Source organism: Homo sapiens, chromosome 5 (assembly GCF_000001405.40).
Source record: "Homo sapiens chromosome 5, GRCh38.p14 Primary Assembly".
Lineage (NCBI taxonomy): Eukaryota > Metazoa > Chordata > Mammalia > Primates > Hominidae > Homo > Homo sapiens.
The window spans coordinates 98,048,443-98,072,137 of record NC_000005.10 but is presented as its reverse complement, the minus strand read 5'-3'; the positions used below and the strand labels follow the sequence as shown (position 1 = coordinate 98,072,137).

Below are 23,695 nucleotides of genomic sequence, written 5' to 3'. Positions count from 1 at the left end.
GAAGTAAATAGTTTATTTTCAATGCCAATGTAAATGCTGTTGTAATAAATCTTTCCAAAGTTTATTGAAATTACAATCTATTTAAAAATATTTAGAATTATTTTAAAATTATATTCCAAGCTTTTATTAACAGTTCTTAATATCTTAAATATTTTAATGTATTGAATATATTCTGTCAAAGAATTTTTAAACTTTGTTTTTTCATGCATTAAATTATCTTATTGAAACTTAGCCTCAAAATACATTCTTTCTTTCCTATTGGATTCCCTAGAGTCACATCTAACTGCTGGTGATATGGATGTATTTTAGTTTCCACCGCAATTTTTTAAAAATTTGCTTCTGTTGTTTGTTTGTTGGAAAATCTGATAATGTAGATTTTTAGAATTGTCTCTGAAGTAAGAGTAAATAAGAATTGGATGAGGACCTGACACTATTGTTAAAGAATAAAGTTAGGATCATTATCTATTTGAGAATGTCTTTTTTTCTTCTCAATCCTGTTTTTCACTAGCTATTGAACAGTCCTACAGTCCTGCTTAATTACCATTTGATGAATGTTAAATGTTTTAGTTATCTGTAGCTCTGTAACAAATTACCCTCAAAACTTAGCAGTTTAATATAGTACACATTTAATATCTCAGTTTCTGCGGGTCCAGAATCTGGGCACAAATTAGTTAGGCCCTATGTATTACAGTCTATTTCTCTCTCTCTCTCTCTCTCTCTCTCTCTTTTTTCTCTCATATCAACTAAATCAGCTTCAATCATCACAGCCTCTTACAAGGCTTCAATCAAGCTTTGGGAGTGTTACCTGAAAGGCTCTACTAAGGAAGAATCCACTTCCAAGATCACTTATGTGATTGCTGACAGAGTTCAGTTCCTCAGGGCTCCTGCAAGGAAGATGTCAATTTATCATTGGCTATTACTGGCCATTGGATACTCTCAGTTCCATGCCTCTCAAATATAGCACCTCCTTCATCAAAGTCAGTAAGAGAGAGCTTCCTACTAAGGCAGAAGTCACCGTCTTTTATAAACTAATCACGGAAGCGATATCCCATCACTTTCGTGCTATTTTGTTCATTAGAAGCAAATCACTAGATCCAGCCTCCACTCAAGGGGAGAAATTAACACAGGGCATGAAGACCGGGAGGTGGGAATAATTGGAAGCGATGTCAGAAACTGCCTACTGTAGTTTCTACACCTACCTAATCGCTCAGTCCAGCAGGTATAAAAGTACATTTGTGTTCAACTAAAGTGATTTTTTTCATTGGATTAGTGCATTATCAAGCATATTTATGTGATGTAATAAAATGCATGAGATCCAACTTAACATACATGATTAAATAATAATTTTAAACGGATACAGACTAACCATCTATGTAAGTTTTATTGTTGAGTGAAAACTAATATTTTGGAGTTGAGAGACATTACAGTGTATGTGTTGTATGGATTTGAGCACAATATCAAAGATTTTGTCTTCTTCGAGGCCAAGGATTGGAGGAGGCTTGCCCTGAGGACTGAGCTGCTTGTAGGAGATGAACAGAAGTTTTGAAAACACAACAGCAAGATGGTGAGCAGTGGTGGGAATTACCTAAATAAATGGTAGCAAATTTAGTTTCAACTTAGGTCGCTACTTCTTTAGTTAATATAAAATATAACCTTGCATGTGCCACTTAATGTACTAGACTCAGGAATAACAAAGTAAAAGTGATTTCATTCCTGGAAGTTTGGGTCACATGATAGGAAAAGATCCACTTCAGTCTCAGAGCCACAGTTATACTACTAGTGTAGGGAATGTAACAGTCTGCCTTGGCTAGGCTTAAGGTTTTTTCTTGCATCAAGCCTATACTGACTCACATTGGAAACTAAAAAAAATAGGCTAAATCAGACTAATACCTTCAATGTAACCAGGTGTCCACATTCATAAGCACAAAAATAGCATGAATAAGCTTTTAGAACCCAAATCTAATTCAGACTCAGACTATTTAAAAGATTTAAGTACAAATTCAAGTGGGAAGAAACTGTTTCATTTTAAAGGTGACAGATGTATCCAGAATAGAAAGACACACCACAGGGCTTTGATCTTATATATGAGTCATCTAGTTTGCATTTCGGTTTCAATTTTTAACTTCAGGGGGAAAATATAAGTGATTCTCACTGGAACTGGAAGACAATTATGCATAGCTCACAGATATTATGTTTATTGTATCCTAAGTAATTAAATGTTGTAGCTAGCTAGCAGAGAACAAAGAAAAGCAAAATAAGGTCTCTTCAGAATAAAACTATACCCCATTTATTTCATATTATGACTGTGACAATGATGCTAATGATCGCGCATAAGTATTGCTGATAGCTGCTTCCCAATACCACTGTCCCAAACACATAATTAAATGTTGTCATAGACAGGGTACATTCAAGAGGGCATAGTGCTAAAATATTAAGTACCAACTTACCCACAGGTATTTATTTCTTTAATACTTTTAATTTTCAATTAGCTGATGGAGGATCTAGATTACAGACTAACAACTGGTGAAATTAGAAACACAATACTTCTAAAAAATATATTTTTGCCAAAGTTTGGCATTTTAGTGTCCCTTATTAATAGGTATACCTCCTTTATTCACAATGGTATGTATGACTGTATTTACCTACTCTTGTCCTCTCCCTTTGTCTATACTGCCAGCCTTCCTAGAATAGTGATCAACAATCCAACGCACTGCATTCAGCTTCTGTCTACATGACTTGAACAGAAAAAACATCACTCAAATCACTATAGATCTCCCTTTACCTATATCCAGGGACTTTCTTTTTCTATTTAGTTATACTTCCTAGTAGCATCTGGTCCTGCAGATTTCTCTCCACTCTTACTTTTGAAAAAACAAAAAACAAAAAAGTTCTTCATTCCAGTTGTCCTGTCAGAGACCCTTCAACCTCTGTGTATTATTTAGTTAGTTAGTTGAGTGAACTCCATAAGTGTACTTTGCACGCTCTTCCATTTTTGTTTTACATGTCTGTGTAAATGTGTTTTACATTCTCTGAATGTGGAAAATCTCATCTACTTTCAGAGAACAAATCATCTTTATAGCTATAACTCCAGTTTCTATACCTCTGGCTCTAACCTTCTTCCTGAGCTCCAGATCAATATTCTCATCAGCTCACTGAGCAACTGCCTCTAGTGGTCCTAGAGATATGAGAGATTCAGCATGTCTATAATTAAACTCCCTTTCTTTTTAACTGTACTTTTCTTTTAGTATTTCCTATCCAGCATGATATTTTTATCACTGAACCAGTTGCCTTAACCATCCTTAACTCATTTCTTATGGCTGCCACCCCATAAAATCAACAAAGACTGCCTACCTCTCCCATGTCCTCTGTACCTGCATCCCCTGCTCACTGCCCCCTGGAGTGTCTTCATCCAAATGCTTATCATTTCCCCTAATGGTATCAAAGGAACTTCTTTCCCAATCTCTCCCTGCTTCATGTCTTTCTCTTCCTTTTTGTCAGAAAAATCTTTTAAAATGTGTGATTTATGTTTGTCCTATGCTGCTTAAAAGCCTACCTTATTATCTATAGAACAAGTTCAAGGTAGATTATGCTATAAGGTTCTTTGCCTTTCTGACCCCAATTATCTTTTCATATTAGTCTTTTGACAGTTTTCTTCAAGGATATCTTTCTCTGTCTGCATGGATCTCTTTTATTTCCTAAGTATATTATGCAGTATATGCCTTCATACTTTTACATATGCCTGAAGGAATCTTTTTCCCTCTGCATACCTCTACCAAACTCATATGAGTCTCAAGTTCCATACAAAAGTGGCCCCATGTGTTAGTCCATTCTCATGCTGCTATGAAGAAATACCTGAGACTGGGTAATTTATAAAGAAAAGGGGTTTAATTGACTCACAGTTCCACATGGCTGCGGAGGCCTCAGAAAACTTACAATCATGGCGGAAGTCATCTCTTCACAGGGCAGCAGGAGAGAGAATGAGTGCCAGCAGGGGAAATGTCAGATGGTTATAAAGCCATCAGATCTTGTGAGAACTCACTATCATGAGAACAACATGGGGGAAACCACCCCTATGATTCAATTACCTCCCACCAGGTCCCTCCCTTGACACATGGGGATTAGATACAATTGAAGATAAGATTTGGGTGGGGACACAGCCAGACCATATCATCCCTCTTCTATGAAAGTTTCCCCAGCTTGAAAGTCAAGATTAATTATTATAATTCATTTCTACCATTTTTATTTGGTACACCCATGTATCAAACAATATCAATTAGATTTTATAATTTATATTTGCAAATAGTTATTTTATCTATTGAGCAATGGTCTACTTATGGACGGAGATCTTTCCATGTCTAGCATGTTATAGTTGAGCAATAACTATTTGTTGAATAAACAAATAAATGAGTGCTTTTAAGGGTAAAAAGAACTGACTTTTGTAGGTGATGACTACTTTATTTGGTGTTCCCCCTTACTTACTGCTATTAAAGGCTAAGCTACCTTACATAGTCTTATTCATTCCACTGTTAGTAGCTTTTTATGAAGTGCCATTCTAGTGGGTTCTCAATAATCTGTATTTTAACTATTATGTCTCTAAGGTTGAAATTGTAGCTTGTGTAAAAGTGTTGGTTAAATTTTTAAAAATTATTAGTTTCTTTTTATACATACATATTGAGCATCAGGACATGTGTGGGTTTTATAAATCAAGAATACATGTCCATAAATTTCCAGTGTAGCCCCTCTGTGAGCTTCCATAGGAGGAACAACTTTGTTACACTAGCACCTTTTCTGACTCTGTAGTCAAATATACGCCTTCTTGGTTATGTTCCTAGATACTCAGCTGTTGTCCTCAATGTGCTTCTAACCTATTTTCTATGGAAATAAAGGGCTAAAATCTAAGATTAAAGTTACATATACATAGGAAAGTGGAGAATATCTACTTTTACTTCTGCATTTAATAAATAAATTTTCCTCTCTAAAGAGAAAGGGCTTTAAGAGTTGTAGTTTTCTTTTCCTGGGAATGCAGGACTGTATATAGTCCAGCAGATTCACATAATGGATGATGACAATAAAGCATGACTTACTTTGCTGTATTGAGTCTTAACTCCTTAAAGCTTTTAATTAGTGATGCAGAGAGAAAGACAGAAATGGGTTTCTGCAGTCAGCACAAAACAAATAATGATGAAAAGCCTGCTGTATTGAATAAAAACAGAGTATTTGCATGGGAGGCTCACTCTAGGACTTTGTGTCTCGTTATTTAGGGTCTGCTCCAATGGTTTATCTACTTCCCAAAGGACTTCCAGCCTTTTAAATGAGATGATCTATTTGGAAATAAAGACTTATACTGCGTTGCATACAGATGCTGAAAATGAAATTCTGTAGATTCCCAAAAGATCAACTATGAAGTTTCTGAATCAGGAGAGTCTTGCCAATGTTGGTGAATCAAAATCTGGGAACTAAGTTAGCAGCACATCTTTAATTTAGAAAATAATATATGTTAAGAACTTGACTATGAAAATATTACTAGTTGAAGCATTTTATATGTGTCATAAATATATGTAGGAATTTTTAGGGTTACAAATATATGTATTATATGATGTGATATATTAGATATAGACTGGCAACCCTATTCACTTATTAACCAATTCATCTATTCAGCATGTATCATTTATAAAGTCAGAAAGCTATTGATTGCCTGCTACATACGTGTGATATACATTAACAATATTTAAGTGAATAAGAGCAAATCCCTGACATTGTAGACCTTTCAGTTCAATGGAAGACGAACACGAACAAATAAAGGAAACAAGAGTCTGAGAAGGGCTAAGATAGTGAAAGATTGGAACACTATAGAAGCACAAAACAGAATGCCGAACTTAAGACTTGGATGGGTCTAGGAAGCTTTCTTGGAAGAGAAAATGTCTTGTGACGATGGTGGCAAGGAGTTTCATATAAAGAAATATAATAAATTTGAAATATGTTAACTGAGAGGGAGCATGGTAGAAAACTGCAATAATCTAAGTATGGCTACATCAAAACAGAAGAGCAGGAGCTTTATGAGACTCAAGTGAAAGTTTAGTGGTTTTTGAATGTCAGGGAATATAGTTGATCCATAGAGGGATAGGAAAGGGGCAGATTGTGGTCACTTTTAGCAACCCTACTGAGGATATGAGCAGAAATCTCATAAGGAGAAGTTTTTCCCAGTAATTTTTGGCAGACTGGCAGAGTGAGGATATTAGATATGAGGTAGTGGCAGGAACCAAAGTGCAGATATTTGGCTCACTTTTGACTAGTTGGTACGAACTGCAATTTAAAGAGCAAGGAGGGATGTAGTTAGTTGCACTCACTGCATCCTTTTCTTCCTCCCATGCAAACACTAATATTTGTCATCCATCTCACCCTGCCTATGGGCCCCAGAGGAAGCCCACAGCCCTTCCTCCCAGAGGAAGCCAACTCCCCTCCTATTACAGGAATGGGCACAAGAGGACTAATGATTATATCATCTTTTTGCAAGTAATCAGTTCAGAAATAGGCTTATGATCTAGTTTTGGCCAATGCAGTGTGAAAAGAAGGAATTTGCTCTTCTGGGTGAACTTTCATAGCTATTTTTTGTTTTGATCTGAATGATTTCATGTTTGATTGGTTGCTGCCAACACATTATAAACCTGTGAGTGATGCTGTCACACAGTATGTAAGGGGGAAACAGTGTAGTGTTGCACTGTCTAATACAGAAGGTACTAGCCCTAAGTGGTTATTAAATTTAAACTTAACTTACTGAGAATTAAATAATATAAAAAATTAGTTTCTAAAAGTCACTTGCACTTTTCCAGTGCCACATGTGGCTAATGGTTAACATTGGATAGTGTTGAAAAAGAACATTTCTATTATTAGAGAAAGATCTATTGGATGGTGTTGGTCTAGAGAATCACAATGAAACAGCACTGGAAACATAAGATTAAATCAATCCTGAAGCTTGCCCTACCCCTGGACTTTCAGACATGTGAACAAATAAATGCCATTGTTGTTTAAGCCAGTTTGAGCTAAGTGTTCAATTCCTTCTAGCTGGAAGCATCCTAGCTAATTAGAGTTAAGCTGTTTAAACATTGAACATTAAGATATTTTGTGCACCAAATAAGAACATTGATTCCCTTAAATGATGGATGCTGTCATTATAACTAATCCTTCACTCACATTTTTTTGGCCAACTAATAAAGGAATAATTAAATAAATTACAAAGCTCCTTTCACTTATTATTTTATGTTTTTCTCACAAAAAAAAAGCCTTTTTTTTTTCTGAGATTAACTTATTTGGGTCATTTAAAATAAGATGTAACATTTTTCAAGTTTTACATTGAAAGTCCAGCTGAAGCACCCAAGACAAGATTCTTTGATTTAACAAGACAAAGGCCGGCAACTTTTCAAAGCCACGTAGCCTGATATGGTTTAACATCAGATGTAACTGTCAACCCTCTTGCACACTATCCCTTCCTATTTGTCATATTTAGGTGCTGGATGGGATTCATTAAAGGGCAATGTAACAATAGGGGGCAATTATATTTTTATCATGAAGCAATCACTTTTCTCGGAAAAGCTCAGGCACCCATCTGAGGCTCCTGCCCTAGGGGGGCAGTTTTCTTTTGATAATCTCACCTATTGAACTGTCATGTTCCATTGCTCAATTAATTTAGCCCAGTAGATGGTTCAATAGAAAATGTTCCCTCTATTCAGGCGATTTGATGACTCTCTCTGTTCTTTCAGACTGAACACAGTGAAATTGTGGGCATAAGTTCTTGCAGCTGCACACAAAAGCTCTCAAACCCCTAGCTGCCCGGGGGTGTCCTCCCTGTGGCTCCGGGCTCTAAGGCACATGGAAAGGGAGTGTCTCTGAGTTTTCCTCATCCCTCCTAGAAACAACTAGGCAGCTTTTACTGCAGTCAAGACATTCAAATTAAAGAAATAACTAAAATGTCAGATTTGAGATTTGGCTCTGACTCCAACAAAACGATAAACGCTTGTATTTGTTACAGAGAGATTGATCTTACCTGCTCTACCCATTGTTCAAAACATTTGTTTCATCTTTTATTAAAACATATCTTTGAATGCCAATAACGGTAGTTACTGTATTTAGCTCTCACTTTTAAATTGTCCTTTAATAATTAAATTAAATGTAGTAATGTTTGAAGTTTAAAAAATTTCAAAAGAATCCGTAGAATAGTAAAAGTCTCCTCACTTCTACCTTATTGCCTTTAATCTCACTCTTTTCTTTCAGATAATCATTATCAAATGGGGTAGATTTACTTCTACAGATGTTTCTATATGTTCAAATACACATGTGCATACACACAGGTGCATGTTGTGTGCCATTTTACATAAATGAAATCCTACACTATGCATGTTATTCAGCTAGCTTCATTATACTTTTCAAAATGTCTTAAAGATAATTTCATTGTGTACATAGAATACTATTTCATGTAAGGAAGAAAAGCTCCATAGTAGTTTATACCATAGAATCATATGATTTCTTAACCTTTTTATTAACGATGGCAATATAGATTATTTCCACTTTTTCCCAATATTACAAACAGTGCTGTAAAGAACATCCATGCGCATATGTACACATGCATATATCTGTGATTATGTATAACTCTAAATGCCAGTGAAGTTTCTGCAATCAAAAGTGATTGGAGGGCCAGACAAGATGGCTCATGCTTGTAATCCTAGTACTTGGGGAGGCCATCGCAGGAGGAATGCTTGAGGCACTGAGATTGAGAGTAGCCTGAGGAGCATAGCAAGATTCCTGTCCACAAAATTAAAAAAAAATATTATCCCCAGGCATCGTGGCATGCTCACACCACTGGACTCCAGCCTGGGCTACAGAGCAAGACTCTGTTTCAAAAAAAAAAATTAAAAATCCTTTTATGGGTGCAGTGGCTCATGCCTACAATCCTAGCACTTTGAGATGCTGAGGTAGGAGGATCACTTGAGACCAGGAGTCCAAGACCAGCCTGATCAACATAGTGTAACCCCCATCTCCAAAAAAAGTAGTAATTGCACACAATACATTTTGATAAGTTGCATTCTGAAACAGATCTAGATACTCATTTCCCACACCTTCACAACTCTCAGTATTAGCAATTTCTAAATTTTTTTTCTTTGGAAAGCTGATGACCAATAAATACATTTATAATTATTTGATTACCAGTGAAGTTAAGGATGTACTTACATATTTTCTGTAATTTTAAAATCATTCTTCCTGCTTATATTGCCTGCTTATATATTTATACATTTAAAAAATTAGGGTTTTTTAATTAATTTGTGATATCTATGATAGATTTATGATATTTATAATGGATAACAAGCCTTTGTTTTATCTGTGACAGATATTTATTCCTGTTTTTTCCTCTCCGTCTTTTTCTTTTTCTCTCTCTTTAATGTATGCCATCCGTTTCCCTTGTAAAATATTTACAGTTAATTTGTAGGTATCTATTTCAAACTATTATATTTTATATTTTTTGTTTTAATGTTTTTAAATTGACAGATAAAATTGTATATAATTATTATATATAATATGATATTTTGAAGTATCTACACATTGTGGAATGACTAAATCCAGCTAATTGACATAGGCAGTACTATATACAGTGATCACTTTTTGTGGTGCAAACACAATATTCACTCTCAGTATTTTTCAAGAATACAATATGTTGTTATTAACTGCAGTCATCAGGTTGCACAATAGATCTATTAAACTTATTCTTCCTATCCGATGGAAATTTTCTGTCCTTTGACTAACATTTTCCCAGCCCCTGGTAACCAGTATTCTATTCTCTACTTCTACTAAATCAATTTTTTTTTAAGTTCCACATATAAGTGAGATCATTTGGTATTTTTCTTTCTGTGCCTGGCTTATTTAACTTAACTTAATGTCCCCTAGGCTCATCTATGTTGTCACAAATGATCATATTTTCCTTCCCTTTTGGCTAAATAGCGTTCCACGGTATATATATAAACACATTTTATATATCCATTCATCAACCGATGGATGCTTAGGTTGTTTTATTATATATGATGGCATTGACATTGTAGTGCATTGCAATGAACATGGTAGTGCAAATATCTCTTTCACATACTGGTTTCATTTTATTTGAATATAGACTTAGTACTAGGATTCCTGTATTGTATGATAGTTCTATTTTTGTTTTACTTATTTATTTATTTTTGAGATAAGGTATCAGTTTGTCACCCAGGCTGGAGGGTAGTGGCACCATGACGGCTCACCATAGCTTCAACTTCCTAAGCTCAGGTGATCCTCCCACTTCAGCCTCCCAAGTAGCTGAGACTACAAGCACAGGCTGCCATGCCTAGCTAATTTTTGTATTTTTTGTAGAGCTGGGGTTTCACCATGTTGCCCAGGATGGTCTCGACGTCCTGGGCTCAAGAAATCTGCCCACCTCAGTCTCCCAAATTGTTGGGATTACAGGTGTGAGCCACTGTACCTGGCCTCTATAATTTTTTGAGAAATCTCCATATTTTTCATAATGGCTGTACTAATTTACATTCCCATCAACAGTGTGCAAGTGTTCCCTTCCTTCCACATCTTTACCAACACTCATCTTTTGTCTTTCTGATGATAACAATTCTAACAGGTGGGAGGTAAAATCTCACTGTGATTTTAATTTGCATTTCTCTGATGATTAGTAATGTTGAGCATTTTTTCATATCCAACTATATTTTGGCTTCTGGATTCCTCATTTTAATCAGATTAAACTCTCACCATCTCAAGATAATTAACTGGTAGTCTGTAGGTTATTCTACTAAATTCATGATTTAAATATACATCTTTAAACCATTTGGGGGTATCTTTGCAAATAATGAAAGATAAGGATTAAATAAAATAGGGGTTTATTTCTAAATGGATATTAAGTTTTCCTAGGTTTCTTTTTACCCCATTGATTTGAAGTACTGTGTACATCTACATCATACTAAATTTTCACATATACATTAGTATGTTTCTAAATTTTCTATTTTGATACATAGATATTTGTGCATTTCCCCCCCAATATATTATTGTTTTAATTGTTCTAGCTTTACATTTCTGCTATATATTTGATTTCTGGTAAAATAACTCATTCCATTTATTTTTCATTTTTCATAAGTTCTTGACTATTATTAGATATTTTTCCTTCAATGTTTACTTTAGAATTAATCATGAAAATTCCATGATATATTTTGTTAACATTTTGTATTCGCTTCGATGGTTTTATAGAATAATTTGAGAGAAATTGACATCATCAAAATACTGACTCCTTCAATCTAGACACATATTGTGACACTCCATTTATTCATCATCTTTTATGTTCTTCAGCATATTTTTATAAGTTTCAACATACTGGTTTTACAGAGTTCTTTCTTAAAATTTATTCCTATACATTTATTCTGAAATACTCATAGGAATTTCTTTTTATGGATTCTGACACCAACAGAAACTATCTTACATTTTCCCTTTTACATAGGAAGCAGATGGAATTAACAGACTACTAATCTTTTATATTGTTTTGTGCATGTATCTGGAATATTAGTTTGTCCTTTACTGACATATATTTTTTCAAGTATTTTTCTCATTATTTATACATAATTTTTTAATGTTTTATGTGTTGCTGAGGATTTTAAGACAGGTAAATAGGAGAACAAGAATGGGAATGCCCATTACAGCTTTCTGTGTCTGTGTGTGATGTTGTACTGTTAAGCATAGTGCAGGTGTCTGTTTCTGAGAGGATGAAAAGCAACTGACAGGATGCAGATGTAGCAAAACAGGGAGACCTTACAAGCACTGGTAAGTGGAGAAAGTAAGAATCAGCAACTTAACACAATATTATTTATGCAAATTTAAGATACTTCTATGCACACCACCACTAAATATTTCCCAGAGGCACAAAAGAATGCATATGCATAAATATATTAGAATAGTAACCTGTAGAATAAGAGAGAAAATAATGGGACTAGAAAATAGTTTGATCAAGAGGGAACTTTGCTTAGACCAATAATGATAGTGAGCCAAGAACAGAAAAGTCGACTAGATTAATTCATCACTCACCTTTCGAATGTAATCAGGGAGGTAGTGAGGGGACAAAATAAAAATGGATATGTAAATTTTATGACAGGCTTTAAAAAAATAGCCTCATGATACTATACATTTGGATACATACCCTTCTCTGTATTTTGTATATATGTAATAATGTTTAATTATAACCCTGGTTTTATTATGCTCAAAATAAGAAAGTTCTTTGTGCTTTTTATGTGTTTTGTAATTGAAGAGCTTAACATCGCTCCCTGTGAGGTGAATTCCTATGCTCATATGGAGTAACTGAAGTACAAAAAATAATTTGTTTATTTTTTGCTCACAATTTTTATCATGCACAATTGAGTCACATTACTTCTTAAATCAGAGCAATCTTCATATGTATTGTTAAATACACAAGCCATTCAGGACTCTAAGTATTTATAGAATCCAACACAACTTAGTCCTTGATTTTTACATGTATAACACTCAATGCTAGTTATTTGTAAAGGATATTAGATTAAGCAAAAATGTTGTGAGATCAAATGCACTTATTTAATAGAGTCAATGGAGAGTAAAGTTAGTGTATAATGTGTTTGGGTATCAGTGGTATGTTTTTAATGATTTTCATTATGTTTGCAGAACAATTTTATTGATCTTTCAAGGGGAAATATTTACATTCTTTTAGAAGATTGAATTCTAGTGATAATTTGACATTACATTTAGCAAGTAGGGGAAAAAGAAATAGCGGTCATAAATGAGGAACAGGGTAAGTGTGAACGTGTAAACTGATGACAGGGCAGATGCAGTTGGAAATGCTGAGAAACAACCCGATCATCCTTCAAAAAACTGCATTTCCAATATTGTATGTGGGTTATAGTCAAGTGGCATTATTTCCTAAGGGATGAGAAATTTTCAAAGCTATAAAATACTCATAGTAAAATCAATCTATCTAATAGAGATAACTTAAAAAGCATGCATGTCTCTTAGTAAAAATCTGAGATGATTTTTGTGTTGAAGTCCAATTACTTTCTCAAACATACCTACGTTCTAGGTTTTTTTATTGATGCATCACAGGATTATAGAACTTAAATCTGGAAGTGACTTAGACATCATTTTGTTAGATTTCTTATTTTTGTAAGAACCCCAAACAAACAAACAAAAAAACACCCCTGAAGTCAAGTTCTAAAACTGAGTATGAACATGGCATGATCCTAAAAGGGGGACATATTGTGAAATATTTAGGGTTGGTGTGCATAGAAGTATCACTAATGGAGACATGATACTGAGAAGTGAAAGGTGCATTTATAATTTCCAAAGCATCAGTGTTTCTGTGCTTCAGCTGAAATCACAGTTGGCATAGATATCAAAAAGGAGAAGAAATATCTTAACAGGAAAGGTGTAGAAGAGCTCTTGCTTAAAAACAGTAACAATTGCTTTGGGAGGAATTAATATACCTAACTGCCTTATAGGGCTTCAATAATTAAAATCTACAATAAAAAGGATATCAGCCTTAATTGGGTATTAAATGTGAATGTAAATCAATTTAAATGGTGATAAATAGCACCTTATATTCTTGGGAACTTATTCCAAGAGTGTCAAACTATATTTTCATTCATCTATTTTATTTGGCAACTGTAACTCGACTTTGATTGCATATATCCCTACCTCAAATCCTAAATAATATATTTTAATTAATCATCCATACTTATAGGTTGGTTTCTGACTTTCCCAAGGTGAGCTTAGCTGCAGTTTTTTTAGTCCTATTCATATACTGAGTCTTGATAAATATATCCTAGAATCATTATAAGATAATTGGTATTAAAAGGACATCCTGAACCATTTTCATGACATTTGTTAATTTTAGATAAAAATATATTTTTAAAAATTGATTAGGGTAGAGAGGAGAGCAATATAGTAGGAAGCATAGTACATTTAAAATCAGAATATTTGCATGGATGCATTACATATGTTATTTTGCAAAATCATTAATGTTTCCAAATATTTGTCTCCTGTAACAAAATATGGATAGGAATGCTTGCTCAATATGGTAAAAAGGAGAAAATAATTTCATTATTTCATTTTCAATGGCAAACTGATCTTGAGCCAAAATTTTAAGAATAACTCTTTCTCAAGAAAAAATAAGTAAAATCCGTTGTAAGTTTGTTAATTAATCAAAAACTCATTGGAATGAGTTAGTGCATCTATATTATCATACCCAAATTTTGCCCAAAATAGGAGATTAATGAATTTAACTATACAAAGTGTGAAGTTTTCTTCCTGTCAAAAAATTAATTACCAAAATACAAACTATGGTAGAGGAAACAATATTTGCAAAGAATATGATTAGAGAAGTCAAAATTTTTTAAAAATAATATCCTTTAAATTTAAGACAAAGTACTCAATGGCATTCAAGATGAAATAAATACAAATTAAAAATACTAGAGCTCATTTTTCATCTGTTAGTTTTGCAAAGATCAGTTTGATAACACTTTGTGTTGGTCTCTGACTGAGTGAATAAACACTCATACATTTCTTATAAGCATTCAAACTGTTACAAATTCTCCAAAAGGAAATTGGGCAATGTGTATTAATATTAAGACTATATTTACACTTAACTTTGCATTTCTACTTCTAAGATATTTGAACAAATGTTTACATGGTGACCCATGGCAGTATAGTTTATAATATCAGAAGACTAGAACCAAACATACGTCTGATGAAAGGACATTGGTTTGATAAATTATGTTACATTTATACAATGGAATATTATGCAACCATTAAAATAAATACATACTATTTGGAATAATCTTCCAAATATAGTATGTGTAGTATTCTGCTATTTTAAACCATTTATGTTCCCCATTTTTCATTTTTGTAAAATGAATGAATCGTCATAATTTCTGTATGCATAGAATACCTAGGATGTTACAAAAACAAATATGTTTGTCCCTGAGAGACAGGTGATCACAGTTGAAAGTGAGACATCAATTCATACCTTTTTGTAATGTTTCAATTTTATTTTTACTGTACTCATTTTTTTCTGTCATAAAAATAGTTGATTTTTATACATTGTATTTAAAGTCAGTCCACAGTGATAATAGCCTCAGTAAATAGCATCTACCGAAGATACCTCCACATTTTATAGGAGAGTCTCCAGCTGTTCTTGTATTTTTAGTGGCTTTTGAAATTTTAGAGGACTCCTCCATGAATTTTTTTCTAACTCTTGATCCAGTGGATCCTGAGACATTTTAACTTGGAGTTATCCAATAAGAAGTCAGATTTCATTTTTATCTCAAAATAGTCACCTCTACTTTTCTGTCCTCAGTTCTTGGAATCTTCTTTAAAATGTAGATAGCTGAACATGTGTTGTAAGCCTGGAATATCCCACAGTCTTAAACATGAGAAAGGACATATTAATTTAGTGCTATACTAGACAATGCAGGCTATCTGGTCACCATTCATTTACACACTTTTTAACAGCCCAAGGAAACAATTAGAACCATTCTGAAATTTGGGTCCACAGCCAATTCATTCATGTAGATGCTTTATATTTTGTATCTGCATCCCATAGCTTTTTTACTGAACAACTGGCCGGTATTTAACAAACTAATATAAGTAAAATCTCTTAGAGTTGTCTAGAACATAATGAACACTATATAAATAATAGCTAATGTTATTATTTTATTAATAGTAGGATAGTTTATGTAACTTTTAAGAATTTCAATTACTATAATTCTCTGAAGATAAACTAAAAAATCAAGATTTTTGCAATATTTCAAAATACAAGTGGAATGGTCACGTGAGAAAAGTAATCGCTCATTTGAAAAAACAAGCAATTTATTTAAAAAATCTTTTAACAGCTATTTTTCTCCACATTCCAACACAATTTTTTACCATGTATGGAAGCTTGGAAGATTTTGAATCTTTAAGGATCAATGTCAGTGCTGCAAACTTGTGTTTACAGTTTCAGTCTGTGAACCTCTGCGGCTGTGATTTTAAAATTACGCCAATGTTTACTTCTCTGAAATATAAGAAACAGCCCTTCTACAGGACTGCTTTTATAAACAGTATTGCCTGTAGGTAGTGGGATAAATTATGGCCTAGAATTCTAAGGGGCAGCCCCATCCATCTGAATATGAACTGTTCATGCACGAAGACGGAATTTGGACCAATTCCCAACACAATTGATGACAAAACCTCACAGAGGCCAATCCTCTCCTATTTTAAAATGGATTTGTGCATTTGTTTTTAATTTTGGAAGCCCCTCTTCATAGGTATGTAATTTGGATAATAATTTCTTTTTCTTTACTCAATTTATTGGGGGCTTATAATTTATTATTTTTTACTATTTTAACTTTAATTGAATTTTATTTGTTGAAACTTTAAAAAAACTTATGGATATGTAGTAAGTATATATATATTTATGAGGTACATGAGATATTTTGATACAGTTATGCAGTGCATAACAATCGCATCAAGGTAAATGGAGTATCCATCACTTCAAGCATTTATTTCTTTGTGTTAAAAATTTCCATTATACTTTCTGTTATTTAGAAATATACAATAAATTATTGTTGGTTGTAGTCACTCTGTTTTGCTATTAAATACCAGATCTTATTCATTCTATCTAACTATATATTTATAAATGTTAATCAACCCCACTCTTCCCATCCTCAGCTTCCTTTCTCAGCCTCTAGTAACCATTATTCTACTCTCTATCTTCATGAGTTTTATTGTTTTAATTTTTAGCTCCTACAGATAAATGAGAACATGCAAAATGTGTCTTGACTATGCCTGGCTTATTTCACTTAACATTATGTCCTCCAGTTCCATCCATATTGTTGCAATTGACAGAATCTTATTTTTTTTTATGGGTGAATAGTAGTCCACTGTGTAAATGTACCACATTTTCATTATCCATTCATGTGTGGATGGACACTTAGGTTGCTTCCAAATCTTGGCTATTGTGAACAGTGCTGCAATAAACATGGGAGTGCATATATCTCTTTGGTATATTGATTTCCTTTCTTGTGAATATATACCTAGCAGTGGGATTGCTGGATCATATGGTAGCTAAATTTATAGTTTTTTGAGGTACCTCCATACTGTTCTTCATGGTGGCTGTTATTTATTTACATTCCCACCAATAATGTATGAGGGTTTCCTTTTCTCCACATGCTTGCCAGCATTTATTGTTGCCTGTCTTTTGAATAAAAGCCATTTTAGCTGAGGTAAGATAATATCTCCTTGCAGTTTTGATTTGCATTTTTCTGATGATCAGTGATGTTGAGCACTTTTTCATATTTTTGTTTGCCATTTATATGTCTTCTTCTGAATCTACTCAGATCTTTTGCCCATTTTTAGTGGGATTATTAGATTTTTTCCTATAGAGATGTATGACCTCCTTGTATATTGTGGTTATTAACCCATTGTCAGATGGATAGTTTGCAAATACATTTTTTTCTGTTCTATGCATTGTCTCTTCATTTATTTGATTGTTTCTTTTGCTGTGTAGAAGCTTTTAAACTTGATATGATCCCGTGTGTCCATTTTTGCTTTCATTGCCTGTGCTTCTAGAACACTAATCAAGAAATTTTTCTTCAGTACAATCTCCTAGAGACTTTCTCCAGTGTTTTCCTTTAGTAGTTTCACAGTTTGAGGTCTTAGATGTAAGTCTTTAATTCATTTTGATTTTATTTTTTGAATGTGGTGAGAGACAGGGATCCAGTTTCATTCTTTTGCATATGGATATCCAGTTTTCCCAGCACCATTTATTGAAGAGACTGTCCTTTCTCCAATATATGTTTTTGGCACTTTTGTCAAAAATGAGTTTACTTAAGTGTATGGATTTATTTCTGGTTTCTTTATTCTGTACCATTGGTATATGTGTCTGTTTTTATGCCAGTATCCGTCACGTTTTGGCTACTATAGCTCTATAATATAATTTGAAATCAGATAATGTGATTTCTCTAGTTCTGTTCTTTTTGCTTAAGATGACTTTAACTATTCTTGCTCTTTTGTGGTCCATGTACATTTTAGGATTATTTTTTCTATTTCTGTGATGAATGTCATTGGTACTTTCATAGGGATTGCATTGAATCTGTAGCTTGCTTTGGATAGTATGAACATTTTTAATAATATTGATAATTCCAATCCTAAACTTGGAATGTATTTTCATATTTTGTGCCCTCTTCAATTTCCTGCATCAATGTTTTAATTTTTATTGTCAAGACTCACTTCTCTGGTTAATTCTTAGATATTTGTGTTTATTTGTAGCTATTGCAAACTGTATAACTTTGTTGATTTCTTTCTTGCATTGTTCACTGTTGTCATATAGAAATGCTACTGATTTTTGAATGTTGATTTTGTATCCTGCAGCTTTGCTGAATTTGTTTATCAGTTCTAATAGTTTTCTGGAGGAGGTTTTCTGAATATCAGATCATATTGACTGCAAACAAGAATAATTTGGCTTCTTCCTTTCTAAATTAGATGTCCTTTATTTCTTTCTCTCATCTGATTGCTCTAGCTAGGACTTCAAATACTATGTTGATTACCAGTGGAGAAAATGGGCAACCTTGTCTTTTTCCAGGTGTCAGAAGAAAGTTTTTAAGTTTTTTTCCATTCAGTCTGATAACATATTTCTTCTGTACACAGTTTTTAGGGCGCTTTTCTTCATGAAGAGATGTTGAATTTTATCAAATGCTTATTCAGCATTAATTGAAATGATCATATGGTTTTTGTCCTTTATTCTGTTGAGATGATATATCAAATTGATTTGAGTATATTGGACCATCCTTGCATCCCTGGAATAAAACCACTTGGTTATGATGAATTATTATCTTTTTAATGGTTATTGAATTTTGTTTGCTAGTGTTTTGTTGAAAATTTTTTGCATCAATGTTCGTCAGTTATATTGGCCTGCAGTTTTCTTTTTTTGTGTGTCTTTGTCTGATTTTGGTATCAGAATAATACTGGCATCATAGAATAAGTTTGGAAGTATTCCCTACTCTGTTAATTTTTTGGAAGGGTTTCAGTAGGTCTGGTATTAGCTCCTTTTTAAAAATGTTTGGTAGAATTCATCGGTGAAGTTATTGGGTCCTGGGCTTTTCTTAGCTGAGAGACTTTTAAGTACGGTTTTGTACTTAAGTACTTTTAAGTACTCATTACTTGATGTTGGTCTATCTGGGTTTTCTATTTTTTTTATGGTTCAATCTTGGTAGGTTGTATGTGTCTAGGACTTTATCCATTTCTGTTAGGTTTTCCAATTTATTTGCATACAGTTGTTCATAGTAGTCTCTAATGATCCTTTGAGTTTCTGGAGTATCCATTATAATATCTCCTTTTTCATATCTGATTTTACTTATTTGTGTCTTGTCTCTTTTCTTAGTCTGGCTACAGATTTGTTGATTTTGTTTATTTTTTTCAAAAAATCAACTTTTCATTTCATTGATTTTTTTGTATTGTTTTTAGTTTCAATTTTATTTATTTCATTCAGCCTGAATGTCTTAATGTAGTCTTATTTGGGTTAAATCTGCTTGGTATTCTATAACTCTCTCTACTTCAATATTGTTATTTTTCTCTGTGTTTGGAAAGTTCTCTATTATTATCTCTTTGAATAAATGTTCTCTTCTGATCTTTCTCTCTATCTCCTTTTTAAGGTCAATAACTTAGATTTTCTCTTTTGAGGCTGTTTTCTAGGTCCTGCAGGAATGATTTATTCTTTTTTATTGTTTTTTTCTGTCTCCTCTAACCAAATAGTTTGTCTACAAGCTTACTAATTGTTTCTTCTGCTTAATCAGTTCTGCTGTTTCTTCTGCTTAATCAGTTCTGCTGTTGAGAGACTAATGAATTCTTCAGTGTGTTGATTGAATTTTCCAGATCCAGAATTTCTGCTCGATTAAAAAAATTATTTCTTTGTTAAATTTATCTGATGGGATTCTGAATTCCTTCTCTGTGTTATCTTGAATTTTGTTGAGCTTTCTCAAAACAAATATTTTGAATTCTGTGTCAAAAGGTCACATATCTCTGTCAATCTAGGATTTGTTGCCTTATTTAGTTTGTTTGGTGAGGTCATGTTTTCCTGGATGGTCTTGATGTTTGTGGATGTTTATCAATGTCTGGGCATTGAAGAGTTAAGTATTCACTGTAGGCTTCAGAGTCTGGACTTGTTTGTACCCATCCTTCTTGGGAAGGCTTTCCAAGTATTCAAAGTAAATTGAGAGTTGTAATCTAAATCTTTGGTCGCTGCAGCAACGTCTGCCATTAGGCAGCACCCCAAACCCAGTAACACTGTGACTCTTGCAGAATTGTAGACATATAGCCGTGGTGTTCTCAAGTAAGATCTGGAAGAATTCCTTAGATTACTAGGCAGAGACTATTGTTCTCTTTCTTTACTCTCCCCCAAACAAACGGAGTCTGTTTCTCCATGCTGAGCTGTGAGAGAAGTGACAAAAGCACCCCTATGGCTGCCACCACTGGGACTGTGGTGGGTCAGACCCAAAATCAACACAGCACTGAGTCTTGCCCAAGACCTGTGATGTTCACTGGCTACTGCTGCTATTCACTCATGGCCCAAGGTCTCTTCAGTCAGCAGGTGGCAAATCCAGCCAGGCATGTGTCTTTCCCTTCAGGGTGGTGAGTTTCCCCTCCTGGCCAAGGATGGGATCAGAAATGCCATCTAGGAGCCTGGAGTTGGGAACTGTAAGAGTCTGACTGTTGCTCTATTCTACTGTGACTGAGCTGGCACCCAAACCCCAAGACAAAGTTCTTTCCACTCTTTTCTATCCTTTCCTCATGCAGAAGTAGTCTCTCCCTATGGCCACCATAGCTGGGAATGCACTGGGTCCTACCTGAAGCCAGCACAACCATGGGTCTCACCCAGGCCCACAGCAAGTACTGCCTGGGTACCACTGATGCTTATTCAAGGGCTCTTTAATCAGCAGGTGGTGAATCCTGCAGGACTAGGTCTTTCCCTCCAAGGCAGTGGGTTCCCTTCTGGACTAAAGTGTATCTCGAAATGTCATCAAGGAGTTAGGGTCTGGAATGGGGGGGACTCAGGACTCTGCCTGGTGCCCTATCCTACCGTGGCTGAGTGAGTATCTGAGTTGCAAGACAAAGTCCTCTTTACTCTCTTTTTTTCTCCTGGAGCAGAAAGAAGGAGTCTCTCTCCTGGAACTGTGAGCTGCACTACCTGGAGTTGCAGGAGGGGTGATGCAAGCACTCTCTTGGATGACTCAGCTGGTTTCTCACTAGGCCACAAGCGCCCCAAGTCCACTCATTCTAAGTTCATCACAGCACCAGGACTTTGCCCAGGAATTCCATTCCTTGTGGCCTAGACCATCTTTCAAGTTTATTTAGGACCATAGACTGATTTAGCCCATCGTGATGGGGCTAGTTGTAACTCAGGTTCTGACGTCTGTGATGGAAGATTCCTCTGTGGTTAGGACTGATCTAAATGCTTCCTCTGTGGGTGCCATCTGAATTCTCCCCCATCTTGCTGTCTGCTATGACAGGGCAATACTGAGTTCCAATGCAAAAGCCTGCAATCACTGCACTTGTTCTCTGCCAAGGGTACAGATTCCCTCTGTGCCACATGGTCACTGCTGAGGAGCTGGGGGAGAGGCGTTGTCAGCAATTCAAGACTGTCTTTCCTATCCTCGTCTGTGCCTCTTTCCTTGATAGGATGTTAAAACCAGGTATTGTGATTGCGCACCTGAGTTTTGGTTCTTCTGAAGGTGCTTTTTTTTGTGTGGATAGTTCTTCAATTTGGGGTTCCTGTAGTGGGGATGATCATTGGAGGGTTCTATTCAGCCATCTTGCTTCACCCCCTCCTTGGGTGACACTGCATTGATAGTTACTAACACAGCAAAGTGATGAAAGGACACATAAAATAACAGTTTTTGAAAGCCTTAGCTTATTCTATTTAGTTATAAATTCCTACTAGACATATATTTTCTATGAAATATATTCTTGGTATTATTGAAATAGACATACATATAAAATTAACTCTAATTATTTTATGGTTTGCACAATTACTAAATAATTTCATGTACAATATTCGTGTTAAGAACTTAAGAACCACTCCACCAAATCAGTTTTTAATAAAGAAACATCATTACTATCAACAATATTTGTAGGATTTTTGTATTTAACTTTGAAAATAAAGGATCTTGAAACTCTCTAAAGTACCGGTAGCTTTTAGAAAACAAGCTGATGTCACCTCATAGTATGAGTGTCCTATAAAAGTTTAAATAGTCTAATAGGATCTTCTATGAGAGTCAACCTCTTTCAAAGCCCTCAATATTATCGCACACGAGCAAGATGAAGGAGATACTCTCCCATGGAGACTTTTTTGCAGTATGCCAAAGTAAATATCTGTAGATAATGCACGCAAACACACCTAAAACTGCATTTCAAAGGAGCTAAAAGAAATTTAGAGACCAAAGCCACCAATTAGGAAAGCCTTTTTGAAGTATTTCACCACTCCTTGGAGATTAAACATGTAGCAAAATACCCTGGTGTTAGATACCAATGCTAAAACAATACAGGTGGAATTTCTTTTTTTAGTATGTTTACTGTTCTTCAGTGTGCTCTTAGAAGAAAGCCACAGATAATTTCCTTGGCCACAGTATGCATCTTTAATGACTCTTGTAAGTTTGCCTCATAAACACATCTCCAGGATCAGTTTGAATTGTCTGCTTAGAGTAAAGGTACACATTTCACAGACTACCACTTCATAAAAGATCTTTCCCCATCCACGGATATCACAAATGCCCAGGAATGTGATTACAGCTTCATTCTTTGAGACAGTACCAGACATTCCAAGTTATCTAAGGGCAGGACTATATAAAGCAATCTTCCTTGTAGATGTTTATTATGAAGGTACTTTTAAATAATTTTTAAAATCTAAAAATGTGCTACCATATACAATTAACTATTTTCATTTTTCTGAATACTTGTCTAGTAAACATATAACAGTGATGTTTAAATACTGCACTCTTTACCTTTCAGCTTCTTCCAGAACCTTTTTAAAGAGATACATTCTCCATTTTGACTTTTAAAAGTATTTCTTCAGACTATTTGCATTACTTTGTGTTTCTTTCTAATAATTTGCTTATGAAGCCAATTTTCTACAAATTGAATAAAAATTATTCATTTTTCTTATTCTGAAAAAAGAAATCATTAATGCAAATTAATTATGTACTGATCTTCTTAGATTCAAAATAGAAAAGAAAAATTCTCCATTGTTTAACAAAAAGGCTAGAGATAATTCACAAGTTCCTTTTGTTCTTTGCAGGCAGTGACTTTAGCAACAATTAGTGTGGAGCTGTTAGTGAATCTGAACAACTGTCTGATAAATGTATTTTTAATTGTCATTATGTATACAATGATCACATTAGGGGAATTCTTTCATAGTTCTTAAGAAATTGGCTTTGGTAGTTAAAATAAAACATGAAACACATCAGATTCAATAAATAAACCTATATCACATTGTCCATTATATTGTATCTTTTTGGATGCACAATGAATGACACTAAAGGTAGAAGAAGCAACCCAGTTGAATGGGTGAAACTCATAATGTAATTCCACATAACACAAGTAATGCACATTTAGCTATACATAAGAAAGTTCCTCT

At 34.4% G+C, this 23,695-nt stretch overlaps 1 annotated feature.

The window, feature by feature from the left end:
- Positions 20,382 to 21,581: an enhancer, noted in NCBI's record as "MED14-independent group 3 enhancer chr5:97386261-97387460 (GRCh37/hg19 assembly coordinates)". NCBI's record gives its function as "activates an origin of replication core promoter dependent on BRD2, BRD4, P300/CBP and CDK7 cofactors, and independent of MED14, by STARR-seq in HCT116 cells {active_cell/tissue: HCT116}" and the evidence as "EXISTENCE:reporter gene assay evidence [ECO:0000049][PMID:35650434]".